Here is a 27,903-nt window from a genome sequence, read left to right as displayed (position 1 = left end):
CTTGAATCCAGGAGGTGGAGCTTGCAGTGAGCCGAGATCGTGCCACTGCACTCCAGCCTGGGCCTGACAGAGCAAGACTCCATCTCTAAAAAACAAAATAAAACAAAAACAAAGTGATTTCTCTTGTCACACTCAGATGGCCTAGGACACATGGGCATGTGAGGTCCCACACCCTTTTAACAGCCCATCTGGAGCTAAGGAACAAGGAGGGGCTGGCCTATTTTCCTCTGCACAGGTTCATACTTTTGTACACTCACCTTCAATACTGGGCTGGAAAGAACAGTCCCCATCTCCAAATGGTGCTAGAAATCAGGGAACCAAGTACTGCAGATAAATTTTCCAAATGTAACAACCTCTCCATGGCCCCTGCCTCCCCCAACACTTCCTGATACAGCTAATAATTAAGAACACAATCAAAGGCTAAGGGATAAATTATTTCTTTGGATTTATATTTTTCCATAAAATGCAAATGCTGATTCATCAGTGAGTCAGTATATGAAAAAGGGCCTCTTAAATGTCTTATAAACACTAATTATTCTTCCCCAGTCTTCATTTCCTTAAAGTCACATCGCTCACAAGTAGGCTCATCTTCCACTTCTGCCATCTGAAGGCTGGTCCATGCCCAGCCTGAACCAGGGGAAATGTGCAGAACTCACCAAAATTTTTCCAACACCCTGACAACATTTCATTTCAAACTCTGATCCCTGCCCTGTGATTACAAAGAGGATGCTGCTGGTTGTCTCTCACAGTCCCTGCTGTGGGAAAAACTGATATCCAATGTTCTCTGAAACATACTGTCTTTCATCTAGACTCAGAAGCTAGACATAAAATTTAAAAAAGAAGAGTGTCCATGGCCATGTTATACCTGCCACCTGCTAGGGCCCAGTCATCAGTCATGGTTGCTGATGATGAGACTGCTGAAAAGACCTGAGCAGGATGGGAGAGAACAAAGGTAGTTCTTTTTATAGCATGAGGGGAATGGGAGACTTCAAAGCTTCCAGCAGCCTCATCACCCAGGCTTCACCCTAGAAGTCATTTTTGTCATCAGGCTAGCTGAGGCTTCTGGGCCTCTCCTTGTGCCTCTTCATATTCTTCTTCTGGTTTCAGCTGAGGGCCAGGGATCATCACCGTCTGAAAGAGTAGGACGCCAGGTTACCCACCAACCAAGCCCATGGCTGACCCAGAAGAGCTTCATCCCTTGCTCCCACCCACCCACCCACCCGGCCTTCCCTTCCTGGGTGGTGCATCACCCCCTCTCGCCACTAGGTGGAGCCCGACAGAGTGGCTTAGGAGACCACGAGTAGTGCCTCAGCTCTCTTAAACCATGCAAGCCACCTTACCTTAAGGATGGGCTGCTTAGGGGGTGCCCATGGGGGAACGATCTTGGTATGCATTCTCCAGCTTCCATAGGGGTTTGTCAACTGCTTTTCGAATACAACATACTCCAGGACATCCTTGGGTACATCTTCCTGTCCATACATCAACCGGCCAAACCGGTCATAGATGGCCAGAGTCTGCAAGGATAAAAGCAAATCTGGCCTCTTAGTTTTTTTGGTGTGTGAGTGTGAGTTGTTTGTTTTATTGCCATACAACCTTTTTTTTTTTTTTGAGACAGAGTCTCACTCTGTTGCCCTGGCTGGAGTGCAGTGGCATGATCTCAGCTCACTGCAACCTCTACCTCCTGGGTTCAAGCAATTCTCCTGCCTCAGCCTCCCAAGTAGCTGGGATTACAGGCACGTGCCACCACTCCTGGATGATTTTTTTTGTCTTTTTTAGTAGAGATGGGGTGTCACCATGTTGACCCAGCTGTCCAACTCCTGACCTCAGGTGATCCACCCGCTTCGGCCTCTCAAAGTGCTGGGATTACAGGCGTGAGCCACTGCACCCAGCCTGCCACACAACCATTTTTGAAACCACCATAAGAAAAATCTTTTTAAATTTTTTTTTTTTGGAGACGGAGTCTTGCTGTTGCCCAGGCTGGAGTGCAGTGGTACGGTATCGTCTCACTGCAACCTCCGCCTTCCAGGTTCAAGCGATTCTCCTGCCTCAGCCTCCTGAGTAGGTGGGACTACGGGCACACACCATGATGCCCGGCCAATTTTTCTATTTGTAGTGTACACAGTGTTTTGCCATGTTGGCCAGGCTGGTCTTGAACTCCTGACCTTGTGATCTGCCTGCCGTGGCCTCCCAAAGTGCTGGGATTACAGGCATGAGTTACTGTGCCCAGCCAGAAAAAATCTTAATGGGTAGAAAAAAAGTTATCTCGGAATTCTGAATCTAGGACTATCTGATCAACTACTGACACTTTATTCTTACAAGTTCTTTGACAGGGGGCAGAGAGACGGGGAAGTCAAGACCAAGAAGGAGTGGGGCACAATGGCTCATGCCTATAGTCCCAGCACTTTGGGAGGCTGAGGTGGGTGGATCACTTGAGCTCAGGAGTCTGAGACCAGCTTGGGCAAAATGACAAGACTGGTCTCTACAAAAAATACTAAAATTAGCCAGGCATGGTTGCGTGCCCCTGTAGTCCCAGCTACTTGGAGGCTGAGGTGGGAGGATTGCTTGAGCCCAGGAGGTTGAGGCTGCAGTGAGCCACAATCACATCACTGCACTCCAGCCTGGGTGACAGAATGAGACCCTGTCTTGGGGGAAAAAAAAAAATCAGGAAGAGTGGGAGAGAATATCCTCACACATCTTAGTAGAGCCAACATGTAACAGTGGGAAGGGGACAGCGGCACAGCAAGGAAGACAGATCACAGTGTACCTTTTATTACTGTCTACAGTCCTGGGCAACCATACCCAGCACTCCAGAGGGAGGTGCCCAAGCTCAGAGTGAAAAAAAGCTGGGAGGAAGGCAGACGAGTGCCTCTACCTGCCGGGTGTGCATGCGTACGGTGATCTGGCCGTACACGTTGCCCTGGTTCATCATACTTGAACAGCGAACTTGAACAACATGAGAGGGCTCTAAAGATTCCACAAAGCTCCAGCGGACGGTCTTATATTTGATGTCCCAAGTCATGTCCTAAGGGCAAAGGAGAACAAGTTCAACTGCATTTTTCCCTCCCTTTAAGGAAGCTGGTGCTGCCACACTGCTCTCACTTCCTGCAAGACTACAGCCAACAGGCAGCACGTTTCCCACCACATGCTCTCTTGTGCCTATTTTCTCTTGCACCTTCTCAAGTTTTGATTAAGCTATTGGTCAAGCTTACCTGACAACTCTCTCTTCATCTATATCACAACTTCAGACCCACCTTCCTCTTTGAGGACCCTTCTTTAAATCAACAAAAACCACATTCCAAACTGCCAGCATGCCCAATACACCAACATCCCTCCCATACACTTTCATAATGTGGCAATTATTGCATGTACTTGTGTTGACTGCATATATATTTTTTTTCCCCACTCACATATTAACAATGAAAAGTGGGAATTTTACAGGGCTATAAGGGCTAAACTGCTAGGACTGGGGAAGACTGATAGAAACTGAAGTTCTACTGATAGAAACCCAAGTTCTTTTTTTATTTATTTTTATTTTTGAGACGGCAATCTTGCTCTGTTGCCCAGGCTAGAGCACAGTGGCGCGGTCTCGGCTCACTGCAAGCTCCGCCTCCCAGGTTCACGCCATTCTCTTGCCTCAGCTTCCCGAGTAGCTGGGACTACTGGCGCCCGCCACCACGCCCGGCTAATTTTTCTGTATTTTCAGTAGAGACGGGGTTTCACCATGTTAGCCAGGATGGTCTTGATCTCCTGACCTCGTGATCCGCCCGCCTCGGCCTCCCAAAGCGCTGGGGTTACAGGCGTGAGCCACCGCACCCGGCCCCAAGTTCTTATTCTTGGATCTCTAACTGAACCACAAAGTTCTTATCCTTGGGGATCCCTCCAAGTGCTTCACACTCCTGTTACCACTCAATATAAGCCTCATGAACTCTTGTTAAATCCCTCATGATAGTGCAGGCGTGTGGAGATGTGGCCTAGTATGGCCCATATCCAAGCCTCAGGACCTATGCTCCTGCAGTGTCATTACTGCTTGTTGAGGGACTTCTTTCATTTGCCAGGGCCCTTACCAGAGTCTGTGTCAAGACATTGTCATTCAGCTACAAGCAATGAACCTTCAGCCTGTGCCTTAAACTTCCTACACTCTCAAAACTGATCCTTCTTAAGAAAAACCAGGCAGGGCGCAGTGGGGTTCATGCCTGTAATCCCAGCACTTTGGGAGGCCGAGGCGGGCGGATCACCTGAGGTCGGGAGTTGGAGACCAGCCTGACCAACGGGAGAAACCCCGTCTCTACTAAAAATACAAAATTAGGCCAGGTGCGGTAGCTCACACCTGTAATCCCAGCACTTTGGGAAGCCGAGGTGGCCGGATCACGAGGTCAGAAGATCGAGACCATCCTGGCTAACACAGTGAAACCCCGTCTCTACTAAAAATACAAAAAATTAGCCGGGTGTGCTGGCGGGTGCCTGTAGTCCCAGCTACTCAAGAGGCTGAGGCAGGAGAATGGCGTGAACCCGGGAGGCGGAGCTTGCAGTGAGCCGAGATAGCGCCACTGCACTCCATCCTGGGCGACAGAGCGAGACTCCATCTCAAAATAAATAAATAAATAAATAAATAAATAAATAAATAAATAAATAAATAAATAAAAAATTAGCTGGGCATGGTGGCGCATGCCTGTAATCCCAGCTACTTGGGAGGATGAGGCAGGAGAATCGCTTGAACCTGGGAGGTGGAGGTTGCGGTGAGCCAAGATCGCACCATTGCACTCCAGCCTGGGCAACAAGAGTGAAACTCTGTCTCAAAAAAAAAAAAAAAAAGAAAAGAAAAGAAAAGAAAAGAAAAACCAGAGACGCCATCTAGAATCTGCCCACTCAGTCACCCCACAGTTCTAAGGAGGATGAGAACTTACTGGAAAACAGTGTTCAGTTACCAAGGTATGAAGCCGGTCATGGTCTGAGCTAGAAAAGAAAGCAATAAATATCATTGACTATTGCTCTTATAATACCCTGTATGAAGACTGAAAATGGTCCTGAAAATGGAAAACAATTCATTTTTACAAATGTTTTCGGCACATCTAGTATAAGCCAGGTATAAAATATGCTAAATTCTAGGGGCACAAACACGAACAATAATGTGATTTACCAGAAAACCCTAAGATCTAGTAGCAGAATAAAATTATATTACAAATAAAAAATAAATTTAAAAAAAATTATGTTTAAATCTAAGGAGTAGGAGGCAATTTCTCTAAAATTACCATATATCCTTAAGATGGGTACCCTCACTGGGACATAGGACCTGATTTTTGCTCTAAGCTGGTATGAGCAACAAAGTTCAACACAAGTAACAATCAAAAGCTTGTTTTATCTCCTCTTGCCTCTGAGCCAGCATCAGTACCATCTGGCTTGGCCTTATATCTTTTTTTTTTTTTTTTTTTTTTTGAGACAGAGTCTCGCTCTGTCGCCAGGCTGGAGTGCAGTGGCGCGATCTCGGCTCACTGCAACCTCCACCTCCCAGGTTCAAGCGGTTCTCCTGCCTCAGCCTCCTGAGTAGCTGGGACTACAAGTGCACGTCATGACGCCCACCTAATTTTTGTATTTTTAGTAGAGATGGGGTTTCACCATGTTTTTAGCCTTATATCTTACACGCTCATCTTTGAACCTAGTCAAAGATAATCATGTCTTTCCTGGTCTATTTTCTCTCCTTTATCTTGTTGCTGCCAGAGTGGCCGAGTCATGCTGACTCTATATAGTAATGGTTAAAAAAACACAAAACAGCCGGGCATGGTGGCTCATGCCTGTAATCCCAGCATTTTGGGAGGCCGAGGCGGGTGGATCATGAGGTCAGGAGATCGAGACCGTCATGGCTAACAAGGTGAAACCCCATCTCTACTAAAAATACAAAAAAAATTAGCCGAGAGTAGTAGCAGGCGCCTGTAGTCCCAGCTACTCAGGAGGCTAAGGCAGGAGAATGGCATGAACCCGGGAGGCGGAGGTTGCGGTGAGCTGAGATCACGCCACTGCACTCTAGCCTGAGTGACAGAGCGAGATTCCGTCTCAAAAAAAAACAAAACAAAACAAAAAAAACACAAAACAGACAACAAACCCTAGCTCCTATAGATACAAGATTTTAGGAGGGTTCCTAGCTGATGAGTCTCAAACCTAAGGCCATAGATTAGCTTCTTTCAGATACACACGACTTTTCCCCAGTTTACTATGAGCAGTTTAACTCTTTGTCCCCTTTGAAAAATCTTGCTCTCTAAGCCCAGAATGGGTAAGGGATTAGTTCTAACATGTCTATCTGCTTCCCTTTCATCTCTATTCCTAATAGGAAAGATTCCAAGTCATTTCCTCTACTGTAGGAACAGACTGAGCTGTGGTGACAACTACCATGATGACCATCACTGGCACCTCTGAGTGAACTCTTCCTCCCCACTATCCTGGCATAGAAGTCTTCAGTGGAAATAAACTCCATTTTCCATGAGTTCACTTACTATTTTGCAATAATGTAATACTACTTCTACTATAAACATTTAGAAATGGTGGATTTATGGGCCGGGTGCGGTGGCTCATGCCTGTAATCCCAGCACTTTGGGAGGCCAAGGTGGGCAGATCACGAGGTCAGGAGATCAAGACCATCCTGGCCAACATGGTGAAACCCTGTCCCTACTAAAAATACAAAAATTAGCCAGGTACAGTGGCACACACCTGGAGTCTCAGCTATTCAGGAGGCTGAGGCAGGAGAATCGCTTGAACCTGGGAGGTGGAGGTTGCAGTGAGCCAAGATCGCGCCACTGCACTCCAGCCTGGCAACAGAGCAAGACTCCGTCTCAAAAAAAAAGGAAATGTTGGATAAAATGTAAAACAGACAAATACACTTTTGCTTTTTTTTTTTTTTTTTTTTTTTTTTTGGATTGCACCACTGCCCTCCAGCCTGGGCTACAGAGTGAGATTCTGGGACTACAGGTGCACGCCACCACACCCAGCTTTTTTTGTATTTTTAGTAGAGTTGGGGTTTCACCATGTTGGCCAGGCTGGTCTCGAACTCCTGGACTCAAGTGATCTGCCCGCCTCGGCCTCCCAAAGTACTGGATTATAGGCATGAGCCACCACACCTGACCAAAAAATAATTTGACAGAAACCACCCCTAAGGAAACCCAGACATTGTAATTATTAGTAAAGACACAAATCAATTGTCCTAAATATGTCCAATGAGCTAAAGGAAACCATGGACAAAGAAGTAATGAAATCAGAAAAACAATGTGTGAACACATTGGAGACAGAAATTATACAAGGGAACCAAACAGAAATTCTGGAGCTAAAAAGTACAATAAATTTTAAAATTCACTAGAGGGGTTCAACAGCAGGTTTGAGCAGGCAAAGTATCAGTGAACTTGAGGATAAGGTAATTAAAATTACATAGTCTAAAATGCAAAGAGAAAAAATAATGGAAAAAAAATGAACAAAACCTTGAGGGACCTGTGGGACATCATCAAGTATACCAAATACACATCATAGGAGTCCCAGAAAAAGAAGAAAGAAATGGATAGAAAAAAAATTTGAAGAAATAATGCGGCCAGGCACAATGGCTCATACCTGTAATCCCAGCACTTTGGGAGGCCAAGGTGGGTGGATCACCTGAGGTCAGGAGTTCGAGACCAGCCTGGTCAACAGGGTGAAACCCTATCTTTACTAAAAAATACAAAAATTAGCCAGGTGTGGGTGGCAAGTGCCTGTAATCCCAGCTACTTGGGAGACTGAGGCAGGAGAATCACTTGAACCTGGGAGGCGGAGGCTGCAATGAGCCGAGATCGGGCCACTGCACTCCAGCCTGGGAAACAAGAGTAAAGCTCCATCTCAAAAAATAAAATAAAATAAAAATAACATGCAAAAAAAAAAAAAGAAAGAAAAAGAAATAATGGCTGCAGACATCCCAAATCTGATGAAAGACATTCATATGTACATCCAGGAAGCTCAAAAACCTCCTAGCAAGATAAACTGAAAGAAATTCATACCAAGAAACATTAAAACCAAAGTGTCAAAACCCAAACACAAAGAATGAATCTTGAAAGTGGCAATAGGCTGGGCACAGCAGCTCATGCCTATAATCCCAACACATTGGGAGGCAGAGGCAAGAGGATCACTTGAGGCCAGGAGTTCGAGACCAGCCTGGGCAACAAAGCGAGACCCCTGTCTCTACAAAAAAATTAGAAAAAAAAAAAAAAAATTAGCCAGGTGCTGTGGCACACACCTGTAGTCCCAGCTACTCAGGGGCTGAGGTGGGAAGATCGCTTGAGCCCAGCAGGTTGAGGCTGCAGTGCAGCTATCATTGCACCACTGTGCTCACTCCAGCCTGGCTGAAAAAGTGAGACCCTGACTTTAAAATAAAAAAGAAACAAACAAAGGCTAAAGGGGATCCTTCAGGCTAAAATGAAAGGACACCAGAAAGTAACTCAAAACCACAAGAAAAAAACAAAAAACATGTATGTTTTACTACTATGTAGGAAAAGTAACTACATAGATAAATATAAAAGCCTGTATTACTGTACTTTTGGTTTATAATTCCTCATTTTTCATCCTGTATGATTTAAAAGGCAAATGCATAAAACAATAATTATGAATTGATGTAATGGGCACCCAAGGTATAAAACTGTAATCTGTGATAATGAAGCAGGAGAGACATAATGAAGTGGGAGGGAGAGACATATAGGAGCAGAGCGTTTGTATATTATTGAAACTAAGTTGATATTATTCAAACTAGGTTGAACTAGCCACCACGCCTGGCTGTGTTTCTCTATTTCTGCAAAAACCACTGTTGAGGACAGGCGGTGGCCCATGCCTGTAATCCCAACGCTTTGGGAGGTCAAGGCGGGTGGATCATCTGAGGTCAGGAGTTTGAGACCGGCCTGGCCACTTAATGGGAAAGCACAGTCTCTTCAATAAATGGTGCTAGAAAAATGAATATTCTCATGCAAAAAAAAGCAAAAACATCACATAGTTTTCACTATATACAAAAACTAACTCAAAATGGAGCAAAGACCTAAATGTGAGAGCTAAAACTATAAAAATCTTAGAGAAAAAGGAAGGGGAAATACTTCATGACACTGGATTTGGCAATGATTTCTTGAATATGACACCAAAAGAAAAAACTCGATATGGTAACAAAAGAAAAAAACTTGAAAAACTGGATTTCATCAAAATTTAAAACTTTTTTGCATCAAAGGATACTATCAAGAGTGAAAAGACGGCAGGCGCAGTGGCTCACGCCTGTAATCCCAGCACTTTGGGAGGCCGAGGCAGGTGGATCACCCGAGGTCGGGAATTCAAGACCAGCCTGTCCAACATGGTGAAACCCTGTCTCTACTAAAAATACAAAATTAGCCAGGCATGGTGGCGCATGCCTGTAATCTGAGCTACTCAGGAGGCTGAGGCAGGAGAATTGCTTGAACCCAGGAGGCAGAGGTTGCGGTGAGCCGAGATCACGCCATTGCACTCCAGCCTGGGCTTCAAGAGCAAAACTCCATCTCAAAAACTAATAATAATAAAAGAGTGAAAAGACAAACCATAAAATGGGGGGAAATATTAGCACAGCATATATCTGATAAAGGATTAATATCCAAAATATATAAAGAACTCCTATAACTCAACAACAAAATAACCGCCTAATTTAAAAATAGACCTTTCTGGGCTGGGTGCAGTGGCTCACGCCTGTAATCCCACCACTTTGGAAGGCTGAGGTGGGTGGATCATCTGAGGTCAGGAGTTCGAGACCAGCCTGGCCAACATGGTGAAACCCCGTCTCTACTAAAACTACAAAAATTAGCTGGGCATGGTGGTGCATGCCTGTAATCCCAGCTACTCGGGAGGCTGAGGCAGGAGAATCGCTTGAACCCAGGAGGCAGAGGTTGCTATGAGCCGAGATCGTGCCACTGCAGTCCTGTCTGGGCGACAGAGCAAGACTTCAACTCAAAAAAAAAAAAAAGACCTTTCTTCAAAGAAGACGTACAAAAGGCCAATAGCACATGAAAAGATGCTCAATGTCACTAGCTATTAGGGAAATACAAAGCAAAACCATAATGAGATACTACACTTCACACCCATGAGGATGCCTATTATAAAAAGAAAAAGGCTGGGCATGGTGGCTCACACCTGTAGTCCTAGCATTTTGGGAGGCCGAGGCAAGAGGATTGCTTAAGCCCAGGAGTTTGAGACCAGCTTGGGCAATACAGTGAGACCCCATCTCTCATATATATATATATATATGTATATATATATATATACGTATATATATATATATATACGTATATATATATATGTATATATATATATATATATATTTTTTTTTTTTTTTAATAGAAAGGAAAGTGGCTAGGCGCAATAGCTCACGCCTGTAATCCCAGCACTTTGGGAGGCCAAGGCGGGTGGATCACGAGGTCAGGAGATTGAGACCATCCTGGCTAACACATGAAACCCCATCTCTACTAAAAATACAAAAAATTAGCCGGGTGTGGTGGCAGGCGCCTGTAGTTCCAGCTACCCGGGAGGCTGAGGCAGGAGAATGGCTTGAACCCGGCAGGCGGAGCTTGCAGTGAGCCAAGATTGTGCCACTGCACTCCAGCCTGAGCAACAGAGCGAGACTCCATCTCAAAAAAAAAAAAAAAAAACCAATAAAAAGGAAAGTAATAGGTATCAGTGAGGATGTAGAGAAACTGGAATCCTTGTGCATTGGTCATAGGAATGTAAAACAGTGTAGCTGCTAAGGAAAACCATATGGTGGTTCCTCAAAAAGTTAGGGTTTTTTTTTTGAGACAGTCTCACTCTGTCATTGAGGCTGGAGTGTAGTGACACAATCATAGCTCACCACAGCCTCAAAAATCCCTGAGCTCAAGCAATCCTTCTGCCTTAGCACCTCAAATAGCTGGGACTACAGGCATGCACCACCATGCCCGGATGATTTTTTAAATTTTTTATAGAGATGGGGTCTTACTCTGCTGCCCAGAAACAATCCTCCCACTTCGGCCTCCAAAAGTGCTGGATTACGGGTATGAGCCACCACCCAGACCTTCAAAAAGTTAAACATAGAGTTATCATGTGATCCAACAACTTCAGTTCTGAGTATATACCCAAATGAATTGAAAGCACGAGCTCAAACAGATACTTGTACACCAACAATCACAGGAGCATTATGCCACAATAAAAGGTGGAAACAACCTGAATGTCCATCACTAGATGAATGGATAAACAAAATGTGGTGTATATACATACAATGAAATATTATTCAGCCTTAATAAGGAGACATACGTGGCTGGGCACGGTGGCTCACACCTGTAATCCCCGCACTTACGGAGGCCGAGGCAGGCGGATCACCTGAGGTCAGGAGTTCGAGACCAGCCTGGCCAACATGGTGAACCCCGTCTCTACTAAAAATACAAAAATTAGCCAGGTGTGATGGCAGGCGTCTGTAATCCCAGCTACTTGGGAGGCTGAGGCTGGAGAATCGCTTGAACCCAGGAGGCAAAGGTTGCAGTGACTGGAGATCGAGCCATTACACTCCAGCCTGGGTGACAAGAGCAAAACTCCATCTCAAAAAAAAAAAAAAGATAAAAAAATAAAAATAAAATTAAGGAGACACATGCTACAATATATATGAACATTGAAGACATCATGCTAAGTGAACTAAGCCAATCACAAAAGGTCAAAAACTGTAAGATTCCACTTATGTGAGGTACCTAGATGCCTTCATCTGTTCAGGATGCTGTAACAAAAATATCATAAACCAGGTGGCTTATAAACAACATTTATTTCTCACAGTTCTAGAGGCTGGGAAGTCCAAGATCAAGACACTGGCAAATTTGGTGTCTGGTGAGAGCCCGTTCCTCATAGATGTTGACTTCTTGCTGTGTCGTCAGTGGGTGGAAGGGGTGCACAAGCTCCCTCAGGTCTCTTTTTTTTTTTTTTTTTTTTGAGACGGAGTCTCGCTCTGTCGCCAGGCTGGAGTGCAGTGGTGCGATCTTGGCTCACTGCAACCTCCACCTCCTGGGTTCAAGCAATTCTCTTGCCTCAGCCTCCCAAGTAACCGGGACTACAGGTACACGCCACCACACCCAGCTAATTTTTGTATTTTTAGTAGAGATGGGGTTTCACCATGTTGGCCAGGATGGTCTCGATCTCTTGACCTCGTGATCTGCCTGCCTCAGCCTCCCAAAGTGCTGGGATTATAGGCGTGAACCACCACACCTGGATCCCCGGGTCTCCTTTATAAGGGCACTCTTCCCATTCATGAGGGCTCCACTCTCAGGACCTCATCACCTCCCAGAGGGCCCCCCACAGCCTATACCATCACCTTGGGGGTTAGGATTTTGACAAATGAATTTTCAGGAGACACTAACATTCAGACCATAGCATCAGGATGGGTAAATTCATAGAGAAATAAAGTAGAATGGAGGTTACCAGGTGATAAGGGAAGAGGGCAATGGGGAATTACTGCTTAATGGGTATAAAATTCCTGTCTGAGATGAACAAAATCTGGAAATGGATAGTGGTAAGAATTGTACAACATTGTGAATGTACTTAATGCCACTGAATTATATACTTCAAAATGATTAAAATGGTAAATTGTATATTATGTGTATTTTACCATAAATATATAAAAGCTATTATTAATCTTATAATTTTTAAAATAAATGATTGTCTTAGATTTTTCTAAAATATCTATTTGTTTAAAAAAAAATGCAGGAATACAAAATGGCAAGAAAACTGTACCAACACTTTGGGAGGCTGAGAGGACTGCTTGAGGCCAGAGTTCGAGACCAGCCTGGGCAACATAGCAAGACCCTGTCTCTACAAAAAATTTAAAAATTAGCCAGGTATGGTGGCATGTACTAAGTCCCAGCTACTTTGGAGGCTGAAGTGGGAGGATCACTTGAGCTTGGGAGGTCAAGGCAGCAGTGAGCCATGATCGAGCCACTGTACTCTAGCCTGAGTGACAGCGCAAGAGCCTGTCTCAAAAACCAAAAACAAGGCCAGGTGCAGTGGCTCATGCCTGTAATCCCAGCACTTTGGGAGGCTGAGGCAGGTGAATCACCTGAAGTCAGGAGTTCGAGACCAGCCTGACCAATATGGTGAAATGCCATTTCTACTAAAAATACAAAAATTAGCTGGGCATCATGGTGTGCACCTGTAGTCTCAGCTACTCCAGGGACTGAGAAGGGAGAATTCCTTGAATCCGGGAGGCAGAGGATGCAGTGAGCGGAGATCACACCACTGCACTCCAGCCAGGGTGACAGAGCAAGACTCCATCTCAAAAAAAAAAAACAAAAACAAAAACAAAAATGACAAGAACTAACCAAAACCCAAAAGAAACAAATAAGACAAGAGAAAATGGACCTATTGAAGACATAGATTTTGAAGTTATCAGACACAGGTTTTAAAATAACTGTGATTAGCATGTTCAAGAAATTAGATGACAGAATGGAGAATTTTACCAGAGATCTGGACACACTAAAAAAAAAAAAAAAAGAAAATTCTAAAAGCGAAAAACAGAAAATAAATAAAATAAATATAAAATTAAGAACTCGATAGGTAGGTTAACAGCAGATTAGCTACAACTGAAAAGAGGACAGGAAGATAGATCAGAGAATATCCAGACTAAAGCTGGAGGGGGAAAAAAAAAGGTTGGAAAAATATAGAAAAGAGCTGAAGACACATTTGGCACACAGTGAAAGATCTAACATATGTGTATTCAGAACTACACAAGGAGACGAGAAAGTGGAGCAGAAGCAACATCTGAAGAGATGAGTTCTGACTGAGAATTTTCCAACACTGACAAAAAAAGCACCTAAAGATTTAAGAAGCAATATGAACCCAGAGCAGGATAAAAGACACACACATGGCCCAGTGTGGTGGCACATGCCTATAATCCCAGCATTTTGGGAGTCTGAGGTGGAAGGATTGCTTGAAGCCAGGGATTCAAGACCAGCCTGGGCAACAAGGCCAGACCCTGTCTCTACAAAAAAAACTAAAAAATAAAAATAAAAATTTAAGAAGACAGATACCCATAGATAAATCATAGTAAATTGCTGAATACTAAAAAGAAAGAAAAAAAATCTTTTTTTTTTTTTTTTTTCTGAGACGGAGTTTTGCTCTGTTGTCGTGGCTTGAGTGCAGCTGCACGATCTCGGCTCAAAGCAACCTCTGACTCCTGGGTTCAAGCGATTCTCCTGCCTCAGCCCCTCCCAAGTAGCAGAGATTACACACATGCACCACCACACCTGGCTAATTTTTTTTTTGTATTTTTAGTAGAGACAGGGTTTCACCACATTGGCCAGGCTGGTTTCGAACTCCTGACCTTGTGATCCACCAGTCTTGGCCTCCCAAAGCGCTGGGATTACAAGCGAGAGCCACCACACCCAGCCTGAGAGAAAATCTTCAAAGCACACAAAGTCAGCTGGGCACAGTGGCTCACACCTGTAATCCCAGCACTTTGGGAGGCCAAGGTGGGCAGATCACAAGGTCAGGAGTTCGAGACCAGCCTGGCCAATATGGTGAAACCCTGTCTCTACTAAAAATACAAAAATTAGCTGGGCGTGGTGGCAGGCACCTGTAGTTCCAGCTACTCAAGAGGCTGAGGCAGCAGAATCGTTTCAAACTGGGAGGCGGAGGTTGCAGTAAGTCGAGATTGCGCTACTGCACTCCAGCCTGGTGACAGAGCGAGACTCTGTCTCAAAAAAAAAACATAAATAAAAGCACACAAAGTAAAAATAAACTTTAACAAAATGAAAAAAAAAAAAGTTAATTTCTCAACAGAAACAACAGTAACGCTGAGGAGGGCGGATCACCTGAGGTCAGGAGTTTGAGACCAGCCTAGCCAACATGGCAAAACCCCATCTCTACTAAAAATACAAAAATTAGGCCGGGCGCGTTGGCTCACGCCTGTAATCCCAGCACTTTGGGAGGCCGAGGTGGGCGGATCACTTGAGGTCAGGAGTTCAAGACCAGCCTGGCCAACATGGTGAAATCCGTCTCTATTAAAAATACAGAAAATAGTCAGGTGTGGTGGTGCGTGCCTGTAATCCCAGTTACTTGGGAGGTTAAGGCAGGAGAATTGCTTGAATCTGGGAGGCAGAGGTTGCAGTGAGCCAAGATCACGTCACTGCACTCCAGCCTGGGCAACAGAGCAAGAGTCTATCTCAAAACAAACAAACAAACAAAAAAAAAAACAATGTTTTGAGAAATAAAACAAGGCTGAGCATAGTGGCTCACATCTGTAATCCCAGCACTTTGGGAGGCTGAGGTAGGCAGATCACCTGAGGTCAGGAGTTTTAGACCACCTGGCCAACATGGTAAAAACCCATCTGTACTAAACATACAAAAATTAGCTGGGTGTGGTGGCATGCAGTTACTTGGGAGGCTAAGGCAGGAGAATTGCTTGAACCCAGGAGGCACAGGCTGCACCACTGCACTCCAGCCTGGATGACAGAGCTAGACTCCGTCTCAAAAAGGGGGAAAAAAAAAAATGACTGGCTTGCATAGCCTGGGCAACATGGTGAAATCCCATCCCTACAAAAAATATGAAAACTAGCAGGGTGTGGTGGTATACCCCTAGAGGTTCCAGCTACTCAGGGGGCTGAGATGGGAGGATCGCTTGAGCCCCGGAGCTGAGGCTGCAATGAGCTGTGATTGCACCACTGCCCTCCAGCCTGGGCAACAGAACAAGACCGTCTCAAAACAAAAAACAAAAACAAGAACAGCCTGGGCAACATCACGACATCCCATCTCTATTCAAAATAAATAAATTTTTTTTAAAGAAATAAAAGTAAAATTAAATAATTAATGGATTTTAGACTACAGGTTTTGGGTCCCACCTGAAGCCTAGCCACAGCAGCCACAGATCAAAGAATGCCAGCAACAGTCCACGGCTAGTACTTAAGATATTCCAGCCTCCTAATGTTGATTCTTCATCTTCCTAGGAGCCCTAACTTGGATGAATCAAGAAAAAGCTGGGTGGCCAGGTATGGTGGCTCATGCCTATAATTTCTTCACTTTGGGAGGCCAAGGCAGGAGGATTGCTTGAGCCCAGGAATTTGAGACCAGTCTAGGCAACACAGCAAAACCTTGTCTCTACAAAAAAAAGTTTATTTTAATTAGCTGGGTGTGGTGGCAGATGCTGGTGGTCCCAGCTCTACTTGACGGACTAAGTAGATTCCTTGAGAGAACCACTTGGGTCCAGGAGGTCAAGGCTGCAGTGAGCCACGATCATGCCACTGCATTCCAGACTGTGCAACAGTGAGACTCCATCTCAAAAAAAAAAAGGGGGCCGGGCGTGGTGGCTCATGCCTGTAATCCTAGCACTTTGGGAGGCCGAGGCGGGCAGGTTGCCTGAGGTCAGGAGTTCAGGACCAGTCTGGCCAACATGATGAAACCCCGTCTCTACTAAAAATACAAAAAAATTAGCTGGATGTGGTGGCGTGCACCTGTAATCCCAGCTACTTGGGAGGCTGAGGCAGGGGAGTTGCTTGAACCAGGGACGTGGAGGTTGCAGAGAGCCAAGATTGCGCCATTGCACTCCCAGCCTGGGCGACAGAGCGAGACTCCATCTCAAAATAAAAAATAAAAAAATAAAAGTGGAGGGAGAGCTGGAAATTTTCACAAGAAATATATTCAAAATAACCAAGGAAAGGGAAATGAAGATACGTAAGACAAACACACAAAAAAGATCAGAATGAATTCAGGGATCAGATAGGGTGAAAAAGGCAGCTATTCTGGCACAAGGTCCCAACACTTGCAGGTGGAACTGAGACAGACCAAATGGTAGAAATTCCCAGAAGCAGAGAGGGGAGTGAAAGACAGCGTCAGTCACTAATTACTTCCAATATAGGAAGTTCTCTCACTCTAGATCTCTTACCTGAAGGCAGAAAACAAATTTGTGCAAAACAAAAACAAACAAACAAAAAAACTGTGCCTAAAATAATAGCTAACTGCTGAGAACAGAATGGGTAAAGATAGGGAGTTCACTTACTTATTTAGACAAAGGTGAGCTTCAATAAAGATATCCTTAGCTTTTTCAGGGAAGTCCTTTATTTTAAAGTTGGCATCATAGTCTTTTATCCTCCGGATTCTGTAAAATTAAGCCTGAGTATTACTTCTAAAGGTCTTACAATTCCATAATTCACAGCCTACACTGACCTCCATTCATGTCCATCCACTTACTCAATAACTGTTTAGCTTTTTTTTTTTTTTCTTTTTTTGAGTCTCGCTCTGTCACCCAGGCTGGAGTGCAGTGGCATGATCTCGGCTCACTGCAAGCTCTGCCTCCCAGGTTCACGCCATTCTCCTGCCTCAGCCTCCTGAGTAGCTGGCACTACAGGCGCCCGCGACCACACGCGGCTAAATTTTTGTATTTTTAGTAGAGACGGGGTTTCACCGTGTTAGCCAGGATGGTCTCGATCTCCTGACCTCAGGATCCGCCCGCCTCGGCCTCCCAAAGTCCTGGGATTACAGGCGTGAGCTACCACGCCCGGCCAATAATTGATTTTTTAATGTGTCAAGTCCTGGAAATTCAACCTTCTCCCTCTTAAATTAAGCACTCTAAAGAAAGACTAAGACTTCTCATAGTGAAATTTCAGAATTCTAGAATCAAAGATAACATCTGATATGCACTAAAAACAGAAAAAACGGGTTTCTTACAAATGCTCAAGAGTCAAAATAGGCCAGGCGCGGTGGCTCACGTCTGTAATCCCAGCACTTTGGGAGGCCGAGGCAGGTAGATCACTTGAGGTCAGGAGTTTGAGACCAGCCTAGCCAACAGGGTGAAACCCCATCTATACTAAAAATCCAAAAATAAGCTGGGCATGGTGGTGCACACCAGTAATCCCAGCTACTCCGGAGGCTGAGGCACAAGAATCGCTTGAACCCAGGAGGCAGAGGTTGCAGTGAGCAGAGATCGCACCACCGCATTCCAGCCTGGGTCACAGAGCGAGACTCCATCTCAAAAAAAAAAAAGCTGGGCATGGTGGTGCTGTCTGTAATCCCAGCTACTTGGGAGGCTGAGGCAGGAGAATACTTGAACTTAGGAGGCAGAGGTAGTGATCGCGCCACTGCACTCCAGCCTGGGAAACAGAGCGAGACTCCATCTCAAAAAAAAGAGTCAGAATAACACTGGGCTTCTTTTTTTTTTTTTTTGAGACAGAGTCTCGCACTCCGTCGCACAGGCTGGAGTACAGTGGCGCAATCTCGGCTCACTGCAACCTCTGCCTCCTGGGTTCAAGCAATTCTCCTGCCTCAGCCTCCCAAGTAGCTGGGACTACAGGCACACATCACCCCGCCCGCCTAATTTTTGTATTTTTAGTAGAGATGGGGTTTCACCATGCTGACCAGGCTGGTCTCGAACTCCTGTCCTTGTGATCTGCCTGCCTCGGCCTCCCAAAGTGCTGGGATTACAGGCCTGAGCCATGGCACCTGGCAACACTGGGCTTCCTAACAGCAACATTAGAAGTTACAAAGACAGGCCGGGTGCAGTGGCTCACGCCTGTAATCCCAGCACTTTGGGAGGCCAAAGCAGGCAGATCATGAGGTCAGGAGCTCGAGATCATCCTGGCCAACATGGTGAAACCCCGTCTCCACTAAAATACAAAAAATTAGCCAAGCGTGATGGCACGTGCCTGTAGTTCCAGCTACTCGGGAGACTGAGGCAGAAGAATCACTTGAACCCAGGAGGCAGAGGTTGCAGTGAGCTGAGATCCTGCCACTGCACTCCAGCCTGGGTGACAGAGCGAGACTTCGTCTCAAAAAAAAAAAAAAGGAAGTTACGGCCGGGCGCAGTGACTCAGGTCTGTAATCCCAGCACTTTGGGAGGCCAAGGTGGGCTGATCACAAGGTCAGGAGTTCGAGACTGGCCTGGCCAATATGGTGAAACCCTGTCTTTACTAAAAATACAAAAATTAGCTGGGCGTGGTGGCAGGCGCCCGTAGTCCCAGCTACTCAGGAGACTGAGGCAGGAAAATTGTTTGAACCCAAGAGGCAGAGGTTGTAGTAAGTCAAGATCGCGCCACTGCAATCCAGCCTGGGCGAAAGAGTGAGACTCCGTCTCAAAAAAAAAATAAAATAAAAAGTAATTACAAAGACAACAGAGCAGTGCTTTTATTATTCATTCACTCATTCATTCATTCATTCACTGAGACAGGGTCTCACTCTGTCACCCAGGCTAGAGTACAGTGACGCCATCAGGGCTCACTGCAGCCTTGACCTCTGGGACTCATGCAATCCTCCCACTTCAGACTCCCAAGTAACTGGAACTGCAGGTGTGCACTACCACGCTTGGCTAATTTTCACTTTTTTTTAGTTTTTGTAGAGACAAGGTCTCACTGTGTTGCCCAGCTGGTATTCAACTCCTGCTCAAGTGATCCTCCTGCCTCAGCCTCCCAAAGTGTTGAGATTACAGGCATGACCCACCATGCCCAGACTTTGAGCAGTACTTTTAATTGAGGAAAAAATTATTTCTATCACAGAATTAAATACCTGGGCAAATTATAAATGAAGTGGGAGAATAAAATATTTCTTTTTAGACTTGCAAGATCTTATTTATCCACCATGCAGCCTTTCTCAGGCAGCTGCTAGAAAATGTGCTCCACCAAAGTAATGAAATAGACTATGAAAACATAAAGACATAGGATCCAAGCAACAGGGAATACAACGTAAGAGGGAGGCAATCAGCCTGACCAACATGGTGAAACCCCATTTCTACTAAAAATACAAAAATTAGCTGGGCGTGGTGGCGCACACCTGTAATCCCAGCTACTCAGGAGACTGAGGCAGGAGAATCGCTTGAACCCGGGAGGCGGAAGTTGCAGTGAGCTGAGATCGCACCACTGCACTCCAGCCTGGGCAACAGAGCAAGACTCAGTCTCAAAAAAAAAAGAAAAGAAGACGGAGGCAAGAGGAATCTTAGATCCTAAGACGTACAGTTGGCCTTAAGAGCAACTAGTCCAGATTAAAACAGGTAAGAAGACTCCAGGAGGGATTTCTTGAAAAAGATGAAATTAATAAAATATTTAATGTTGCAGGGCGTGGTGGCTCACACCTGTAATCCTAGCACTTTGGGAGGCTGAGGCAGGTAGATAATGAGGTCAGGAGTTCGAGACCAGCCTGGCCAATATGGTGAAACCCCGTCTGTACTAAAAATACAAAACAGCCAGGTGTGGTGGCACACACCTGTAGTCCCACCTACTGGGGAGGCTAACACAGAAGAATTGCTTGAACCCAGGAGGCAGAGGTTGCAGTGAGCCAAGATCATACCATTGCACTCCAGCCTGGGCAACAGAGTGAGACTCCCTCTCAAAAAAAAAAAAAAAAAAAAAAAAATTTAATGTTTTGAATGCACAGAGAGGAAATTACATAACCCATAGTTCCATAAGCAAATGAGCAAATTAAGACACTACACTTCAGGAAAAAAAAATATATTATGCAGGAAAGAAAAAGTGTTCATAATGTACTATATAACTCAGCTGTCAACAGCATTTTCCAAGTTATAACAATATAGAGAATTTGATTTAATCAAAGTATTAATTTAAGTGTGTTAAAGGAATTTATCCCAGGGATGTGAGGTTGGTTTAATATTTGAAAATCAATTAATAAGGCTGGGCACGGTGCCTCACGCCTGTAATGCCAGCACTTTGGGAGGTCAGGAAGGTGGATCACCTGAGGTCAGGAGTCCAGGCTGGCTAACATGGTGAAACCCTGTCTCTACTAAAAATACAAAAATCAGTGGGGCATGGTGGCGCACACCTGTAGTCTCAGCTACTCGGGAGGCTGAGGCAGGAGAATCACTTGAACCTGGGAGGCAGAGGCTGCAGTGGGCCGAGATGGAGCCACTGCACTCCAGCCTGGGTAACAGAGCAAGACTCCATCTCAAAAAAAAAGAAGAAAAGAAAAGAAAATCAATTAATATGTCATCATATCAACAGAATAAAGAACAAGTATCACATGATCATCTCAATAGACACAAAAAAGCATTTGACAAAATCTGACACCCCTTTATACTCTTTTAACCTCAAAGCCTTGCTTGTACTGTTCTGTTTCCCTAGAATGCTATTCCTCACCACACTTCTCCACCTGGCTAACTCTAAAAAAAAAAAAAAAAAACAAACTTTTTTTTTTTTTTTTTTTGAGATGGAGTCTCACTCTGTTGCCCAGGCTGGAATGCAGTGGTGCAATCTGGGCTCACTGCAACCTCCACCTCCTGGGTTCAACCGATTCTCCTGCCTCAGCCTTCCGAGTAGCTGAGATTACAGGTATGTGCCACCATGCTTGGCTAAATTTTGTATCTTTAGTAGAGATGGGATCTCACCATGTTGGCCAGGCTGGTCTCGAACTCCCGACCTCTCAGGTGATCCACCAGCCTTGGCTTCCCAAAGTGCTGGGATTACAGTTGTGAGCCACCTCATCCAGCCACAATCCCAACTTTAAATATCATTTCCTCAGGCAAGTCTTCTCTGATCTCCCAGACCAAGTTATCTTTTTTTTTTTTTTTTTTTTTGAGACGGAGTCTTGCTCTGTCGCCCAGGCTGGAGTGCAGTGGTGCAATCTCGGCTCACTGCAAGCTCTGCCTCCTGAGTTCACACCATTCTCCGGCCTCAGCCTCCTGAGTAGCTGGGACTACAGGCGCCCACCACCGCACCTGGCTAATTTTTTGTATTTTTAGTAGAGACGGGGTTTCCCTGTGTTAGCCAGGATGGTCTCGATCTCCTGACCTCGTGATCCACCCGCCTCGTCATCCCAAAGCGCTGGGATTACAGGCGTGAGCCACCTCGCCCGGCCATTATCTTTCCCTGTCATATGCTCCCATGGCACTCCTACTTCACTACACCTATAATTATTTGTGTGCGATCAGTATTTAATGACTGTTTTCCTCCCCTAGAAGAGAACTGCATGGTAAAACCGTATGTGCTTTGTTCATCATCACCATGGACCCTGCTCACAGTCCAGGAGAGAAATACATGAGAGGAAACATTGCAGTACAGAGTATTAGGAGAAATAAATACAAGTGTGCAATTACAATCACAGCAAAGGCAGCACCAAAAATAGTCATGGAGGCCTTAGAAACAAACATGATAGCCCAGCGTGGTGGCTCACGCCTGTAATCCCAGCACTTTGGGAGGCCTGAGTCTGGCGGATCACCTGAGGTCGGGAGTTCAAGACCAGCCTGACCAACATGGAGAAACCCCATCTCTATTAAAAATACAAAATTAGCCAGACGTGGTGGCACATGCCTGTAATCCCAGCTACTCGGGAGCTGAGGCAGGAGAATCGCTTCAACCCAGAAGGCAGAGGTTGTGGTGAGCCGAGATTGCACCACTGCACTCCAGCCTGGGCAACAAGAGTAAAACTCCATCTCAAAAAAAGAAGAAAAAAAAAGTAGGAGGGGAAAAAGACATTTCAGGCAAAGGAAAGGATGTGCAAAGACAAAGAGGAATGGTACAGTACTGGCAAGGAATTGGCAATTAGTTTGGAAATGCTAAAATTTAGGATGAGAAAAATGGAATAAGGACAAAGAATGATGGTGGAGAAAAAGGCAAGGACCAGATTATAAAAGCTTTGTATACCACTGAAGATATCTGGATTTTATTCTTTGGTTAACAGGAAGCCATAAAAGAGTTCTAAGCAGGGAGGTAATATGATAAAATCTTTTTTATTATTATTTTTTTTTGAGACAGAGTTTCGCCCTTGTTGCCCAGGCTGGAGTGCAATGGCACGATCTCGGCTCACCGCAACCTCCGCCTCCCGGGTTCAAGCGATTCTCCTGCCTCAGCCTCCTGAGTAGCTGGGATTACAGGCATGTGCCACCACGCCCGGCTAATTTTGCATTTTTAGTAGAGATGAGGTTTCTCCATGTTGGTCGGGCTGGTTTTCGATTCCTGACCTCAGGTGATCCGCCCACCTCAGCCTCCCAAAGTGCTGGGATTACAGACGTGAGCCACCGCACCCAGCCAATAAAATCTATATGTAGAGAAATAAGTCATGGCCATGTGAAGAATTCATACTGACTCAATATACTTATGCACATAAACCTATACATGATTTACATATAGTGACAGCGGCTACTCTGGGCACAGTGGCCTATGGGGTAGCCCTGCTCTGCAATGAACAGTACAAATTTAAAAAAAAAGATAGATACAGTCAGAGCTAGACTGGCTGGGTGTGACGGGTCACACCTGTAATCCCAGAATTTTGGGAGGCTGAGGTGGGAGGACTGCTTGAGCCCAGGAGTTCGAGACCAGCCTGGGCAACATAGTGATAACCCGTCTCTACAAAAATTTCTTTTAAAAATTAGCCAGGTCGGCTGGGCGCAGTGGCTCACGCCTGTAATCCCAGCACTTCAGGAGGCTGAGGTGGGTGGATCACGAGGTCAAGAGATCGAGACCATCTTGGCCAACATGGTGAAACCCCGTCTTTACTAAAAATACAAAAATTAGCTGGGCGTGGTGGCATGCGTCTGTAGTCCAGCTACTCGGGAGGCTGAGGCAGGAGAATCTCTTGAACCCGGGAGGCAGAGGTTGCAGTGAGTTAAGAGTGAAACTCCGTCTCAAAATAAATAAATAAATAAATAAATAAAGGGCTGGGCGTGGTGGCTCTCACCTGTAATCCCAGCACTTTGGGAGGCCAAGGCGGGCCTCCTGAGGTCAGGAGTTCAAGACCAGCCTGACCAACAGACCAACATGGAGAAACCACATCTCTACTAAAAATACAAAATTAGCCGGGCATGGTGGCACATGCCTGTAATCCCAGCTACTCAGGAGGCTGAGGCAGGAGGATCATTTGAATCCAGGAGGCGGAGGTTGCGGTGAGCCAAGATCGTGCCATTGCATTCTAGTCTGGGCAACAAGAGCGAAACTCCATCTCAAAAAAAAAAAAATTAAATATATGATTAAAAAAGGATCCTATACACTCCAAAGTCAACTCCCTAACTGATATGACAAAAATTACCAATAAAGGCAGGGATGCTGAGAATCAGGAAGCCCACATTATTCTGCATTAAATACAGACTCTAGTACAAAGGAGAAAATACCATCATGTTATTAAGAGAATGACACCCAACCCAATTAACCCAAAAAGGTCTCTTTGGGATAAAGTAGCAACAAAAAATTGTTATTCTAATACCAATACCCAATTGTCTCAGACACCTACGACACTTGTGATGCCATAGTCTTCTTCATTCGTTCAGTTCTCTCTATCAGTCCCTCCTTTGAAAGAGATGATATGCGTGCATCACCCTCAGGAGGAACATAGGCATCAAATATACCAGCTGTAATAAAGGAAGAAAAAAATTAAGAAAGTGTTGAAAGATTGAGAAAAACTCATAAAATTGAAGTAATGTAAAATTGGGAAGGATTGTGGATATGAAGTAGACTAATGAAACAGACTTCCATGTAGAGAGAACTATGTTACACTAGAAAAAAACAAAACAAGGCCGGGCACAGTGGCTCACACCTGTAATCCCAGTACTTTGGGAGGCCGAGGCGGGCGGATCACAAAGTCAGGAATTCAAGACCAGCCTGGCCAAGATGGTGAAACCCCATCTCTACTAAAAATACAAAAATTAGCCGGGCATGGTGGCAGGTGCCTGTAATCCCAGCTACTTGGAAGGCTGAGGTAGGAGAATCGCTTGAACCCAGGGGGGCAGAGGTTGCAGTGAGCCCAGATTGTGCCACTGGGCGACAGAACGAGACTCTGTCTCAAAAAACAAAACAAAACAAAACAAAAAAAGCCAGAAAGATTTAAGTCTTCTCTCAGAGCCTCAGTTTCTACTTCCACAAAATGGAGAAATTTCACTCTTGCCTTCTAGGGACAGTGTGAAAGTAAGTTCAAAGAACAACTTCATGATATATAGTGTATATAAGGTTAATCATTATTGAGGTTGAACTGACTTCGTGCTTAATTAAATATTATCAATCATAGTCCAAGTCATCCCAAGTTCCAGAAGATCTCTGACAGAAGGATCCCAGGTCAGGGTCCCAGAAATACCTCACCTGTACAGGCCAGATGTATGGAACGGTCCGATTTTTCTGGAGGAATAACCAATCCTGCTTTCCGGGCATGTTGCATAAACTCCTTTTCTGTTTTAAATTTAGGTTGATAAATAGGAGGTGTGAAACGTTTTTTAGTTCTTACTGGAACTATAGCTGCGGACTGAGTCACCAGAACTGGCTGGAAGGTAAAGGAAAGGTTAGGAACCTAGAAAAAAGATCTACTATCTTTTACAAACTCTAAGCAAAGCACTATAGAGAGGGAATATCCAAAGAATGCTTCAGGAACAATTATAAAACAATATCACAGGGAAAAAATGCATTAGGACCTTAATACTTATGGGTGTCTCTAAATAGAAGACAGTTAGCAACCTTTATTAACATCACATTTACTAAAGGCTTTCCTTTAGAACTTCCCACAGTACAGGACTATGCTAACTCCTACGGATACTGAGTTGATCAAAGCAAGTTTCAAAAACTGATGGTGATGGGGAAACACCAACTCAATACTGAAATGGGCAGAATACTATTCTTTATTATTTTTTGAGGCAGATCGCTAGCCTAGAGTGCGATGGCACGATCACGGTTCACTGCAGCCTTGACCTCCTGGGCTCTAGCTATCCTCCCACCGCAGCCTCCCAAGTAGCTGGGACTAAGGAGTGCGCCATCGCATCTGGCTAATTTTAAAATTTTTTTGTAAAGACCAGGTCTTATATGTTGCCCAGGCTCATTTCGAACTCCTGGGCTCAAGCCATCCTTCTGCCTCGGACTTTCAAAGTGCTGGGATTACAAGTGTGAACCACCGCGCCGGGCCCTGAATGCTATGCTTAAAGCATAAGCAAAGTCCTCTTGTAGGCATCTGCTCCATATGTACTCGTGATATTTTGCTCATCCTATCGGGAGTCTCGCTGTAAACTTTATTCTGTCGTTTTAGCACCCAACTGACCAATAAACCCTCGAAAGATCAGGAGATCTTTTCTCTCTGATCATGAGGTTTGCTCAGACGGGGCAGTGACAATATGGGACGCCCTCATTTTCGGCTACTCTTCAACGTAGTTCACTTATAAGAATCGAAGATTAGGGAGTCCACCTTCCAACCCATTACTTGTCTCTCCTTTAATATCTCCTCGCCAGACAGACCCAAACCAATCCGGAAAAACTTAATATCCGTTAATTCACTCGCTCTCATGGCCCTGTCTAGGCTATCCCCATTCGACCACTGAGCTCCGCAGCTAGGTCCTGTCCACCTAAGCCTCTTCCCCGGCCTAGGTATGACTCGTATTGTCCCAGCTCACCAAGGACAATTGCACAGAGAGTATTTCCCTCGACTCTGTCCTCTCCTGTAGCCCCTAGGGTCCTATCGGCCCCGTCCCTACCCACCTGCCGAGACCACCAGCCCAAAAACCTCGATAAACAAGAGAACCCTTGAGGTATGGGGGCTGCCATCTTGTTCCCGCAAAGGCCGCCGGGAAGGGAGCTGAGAGTGAAGAGCGTCGGGTAGGAGAAAAGCCGCATAGGGTGGAGCTAGCACAGGAGTGGAATTTTCCAGGGAGCGCGCCCTCCGCCGAAATGTGAGCAGCGAGGACGCGCACGTGCTCGCGGGAGTGGGGGAGGGTGGAGTAAGGAGGGCGGAGTACGGCCGCGCGTGCGCAGGGAGACAACGTTGGGCGTAGGGTGGAACGAACTGTTGTCCCCCGCCAGCGAGAGAGCGCTTGAACGCGAGCTGCGCCTGCGCCCGAGGCTTTCTGAAGGCCGGGGAATGGGCATTGCTGTATGCTTGGCACATTGCCGTTTATTCCATTAGTTAAAAAAGGAAAAGGAGGCCGGGCGCGGTGGCTCACGCCTGTAATCCCAGCACTTTGGGAGGCCGAGACCGGTGGATCACCTGAAGTCAGGAGTTCGAGACCAGCCTGGCCAAAATGACGAAACCCCGTCTCTACTAAAAATACAAAAATTAGCCGGGCGTGGTGGCACACGCCTGTAGTCCCAGCTGCTTGTAAGGCTGAGGCAGGAGAATCGCTTGAACCCAGGAGGCAGAGGTTGCAGTGAGCCGAGATCGCGCCACTGACTCCAGCCAGAGCTAGACTCCGTCTAAAAAAAAAAAAAAAAAATTAGTCGTAGGGTGGAACGCACGGTTGTCATGCGCCAGCAAGAGAGCGCCGGGCTTGGTGGCAGGCGGCTGTAGTCTGAGCTACTTGGGAGGCTAAGGCAGGAGAATCCCTCGAACACAGGAGGCGGAGGCTGCAGTGATCCGAGATCCCGCCACTGCACTCCAGCGTCGGTGACAGAGAAAGACTTTGTCTCAAAAAAAAACAAAAAAAGAGATTGACTACTGTCTTCTACTATGTTTACTAAAGCAGAAGACACGTGAATTGACAAAAACATTTGTGATTTGTCATTTCGGAAAGGAGTCACAGAGCAATTACGTAATTTACTTAAGGTTAGATAGATGATAACTGGCAGAACCGAGATTTGAATCTAAGCAGTCTAATTCCAGAACCCATGCAGGTAACTGCTACGTGCTGCTTCATGTTAAGTTGTTAAAGGATTCGTGATGTTGGGATCACCCTGGTAAATTCAGTAGTGTAAACGTTGCTGAAAGGCAGACACTTTCCACACTTAGCCGTTGGTTATTATTCTGCCAATTACAGCTTACAGAGTTCTCATCTACAATATTTTGCAATAAGTTAGGAGCTACAGGCTGTACATACAAGAAATTTCAGGCTGAAGTAGAATTGCTACAAAGGTCGAAGCAAAGTGCTGGGGACTATCAGAAGAACTGAAAGATTACTTTTGGGTTTGGAGATCACGTGTTGTTGTTGTTTTTGGAGACGGAGTCTCACTCTGTCACCCAGGCTGGAGTGCGGTGGCACAATCTCGGCTCACTGCAACC

At 45.4% G+C, this 27,903-nt stretch overlaps 1 protein-coding gene across 2 annotated transcripts, besides 3 other annotated features; it reads right to left on the bottom strand.

Annotated features, from left to right (window-relative positions):
* On the bottom strand, nucleotides 429–26,472 carry MRPL45 (mitochondrial ribosomal protein L45). Of its 2 annotated transcripts, NM_032351.6 has the most exons (8): nucleotides 26,391–26,472; nucleotides 25,014–25,191; nucleotides 24,172–24,289; nucleotides 17,009–17,107; nucleotides 4,905–4,953; nucleotides 2,873–3,022; nucleotides 1,341–1,514; nucleotides 429–1,131 (listed from the first exon to the last, which is right to left on the bottom strand). In NM_032351.6, the coding sequence occupies exons 1-8, from the start codon at nucleotides 26,454–26,456 to the stop codon at nucleotides 1,045–1,047; spliced, it is 921 nt and encodes a 306-aa protein (NP_115727.5). In that variant the 5' UTR covers nucleotides 26,457–26,472; the 3' UTR covers nucleotides 429–1,044. The 2 variants fall into 2 exon arrangements, with proteins under 2 accessions (NP_115727.5, NP_001265208.2); NM_001278279.3 differs by lacking the exon at nucleotides 2,873–3,022.
* Nucleotides 2,330–3,267: an enhancer, noted in NCBI's record as "H3K4me1 hESC enhancer chr17:36476257-36477193 (GRCh37/hg19 assembly coordinates)". NCBI's record gives its function as "activates a minimal SCP1, AML or CMV promoter by ChIP-STARR-seq in primed H9 embryonic stem cells {active_cell/tissue: H9 hESC(primed)}" and the evidence as "EXISTENCE:reporter gene assay evidence [ECO:0000049][PMID:30033119]".
* Nucleotides 26,037–26,587: an enhancer, noted in NCBI's record as "H3K27ac-H3K4me1 hESC enhancer chr17:36453019-36453569 (GRCh37/hg19 assembly coordinates)". NCBI's record gives its function as "activates a minimal SCP1, AML or CMV promoter by ChIP-STARR-seq in primed H9 embryonic stem cells {active_cell/tissue: H9 hESC(primed)}" and the evidence as "EXISTENCE:reporter gene assay evidence [ECO:0000049][PMID:30033119]".
* Nucleotides 26,588–27,136: an enhancer, noted in NCBI's record as "H3K27ac-H3K4me1 hESC enhancer chr17:36452469-36453018 (GRCh37/hg19 assembly coordinates)". NCBI's record gives its function as "activates a minimal SCP1, AML or CMV promoter by ChIP-STARR-seq in naive and primed H9 embryonic stem cells {active_cell/tissue: H9 hESC(naive and primed)}" and the evidence as "EXISTENCE:reporter gene assay evidence [ECO:0000049][PMID:30033119]".

The sequence above is a fragment of the Homo sapiens genome, chromosome 17, assembly GCF_000001405.40.
Source record: "Homo sapiens chromosome 17, GRCh38.p14 Primary Assembly".
Lineage (NCBI taxonomy): Eukaryota > Metazoa > Chordata > Mammalia > Primates > Hominidae > Homo > Homo sapiens.
The sequence above is the reverse complement of the archived record's forward strand: the minus strand, read 5'-3'. Positions and strand labels throughout refer to the sequence as shown.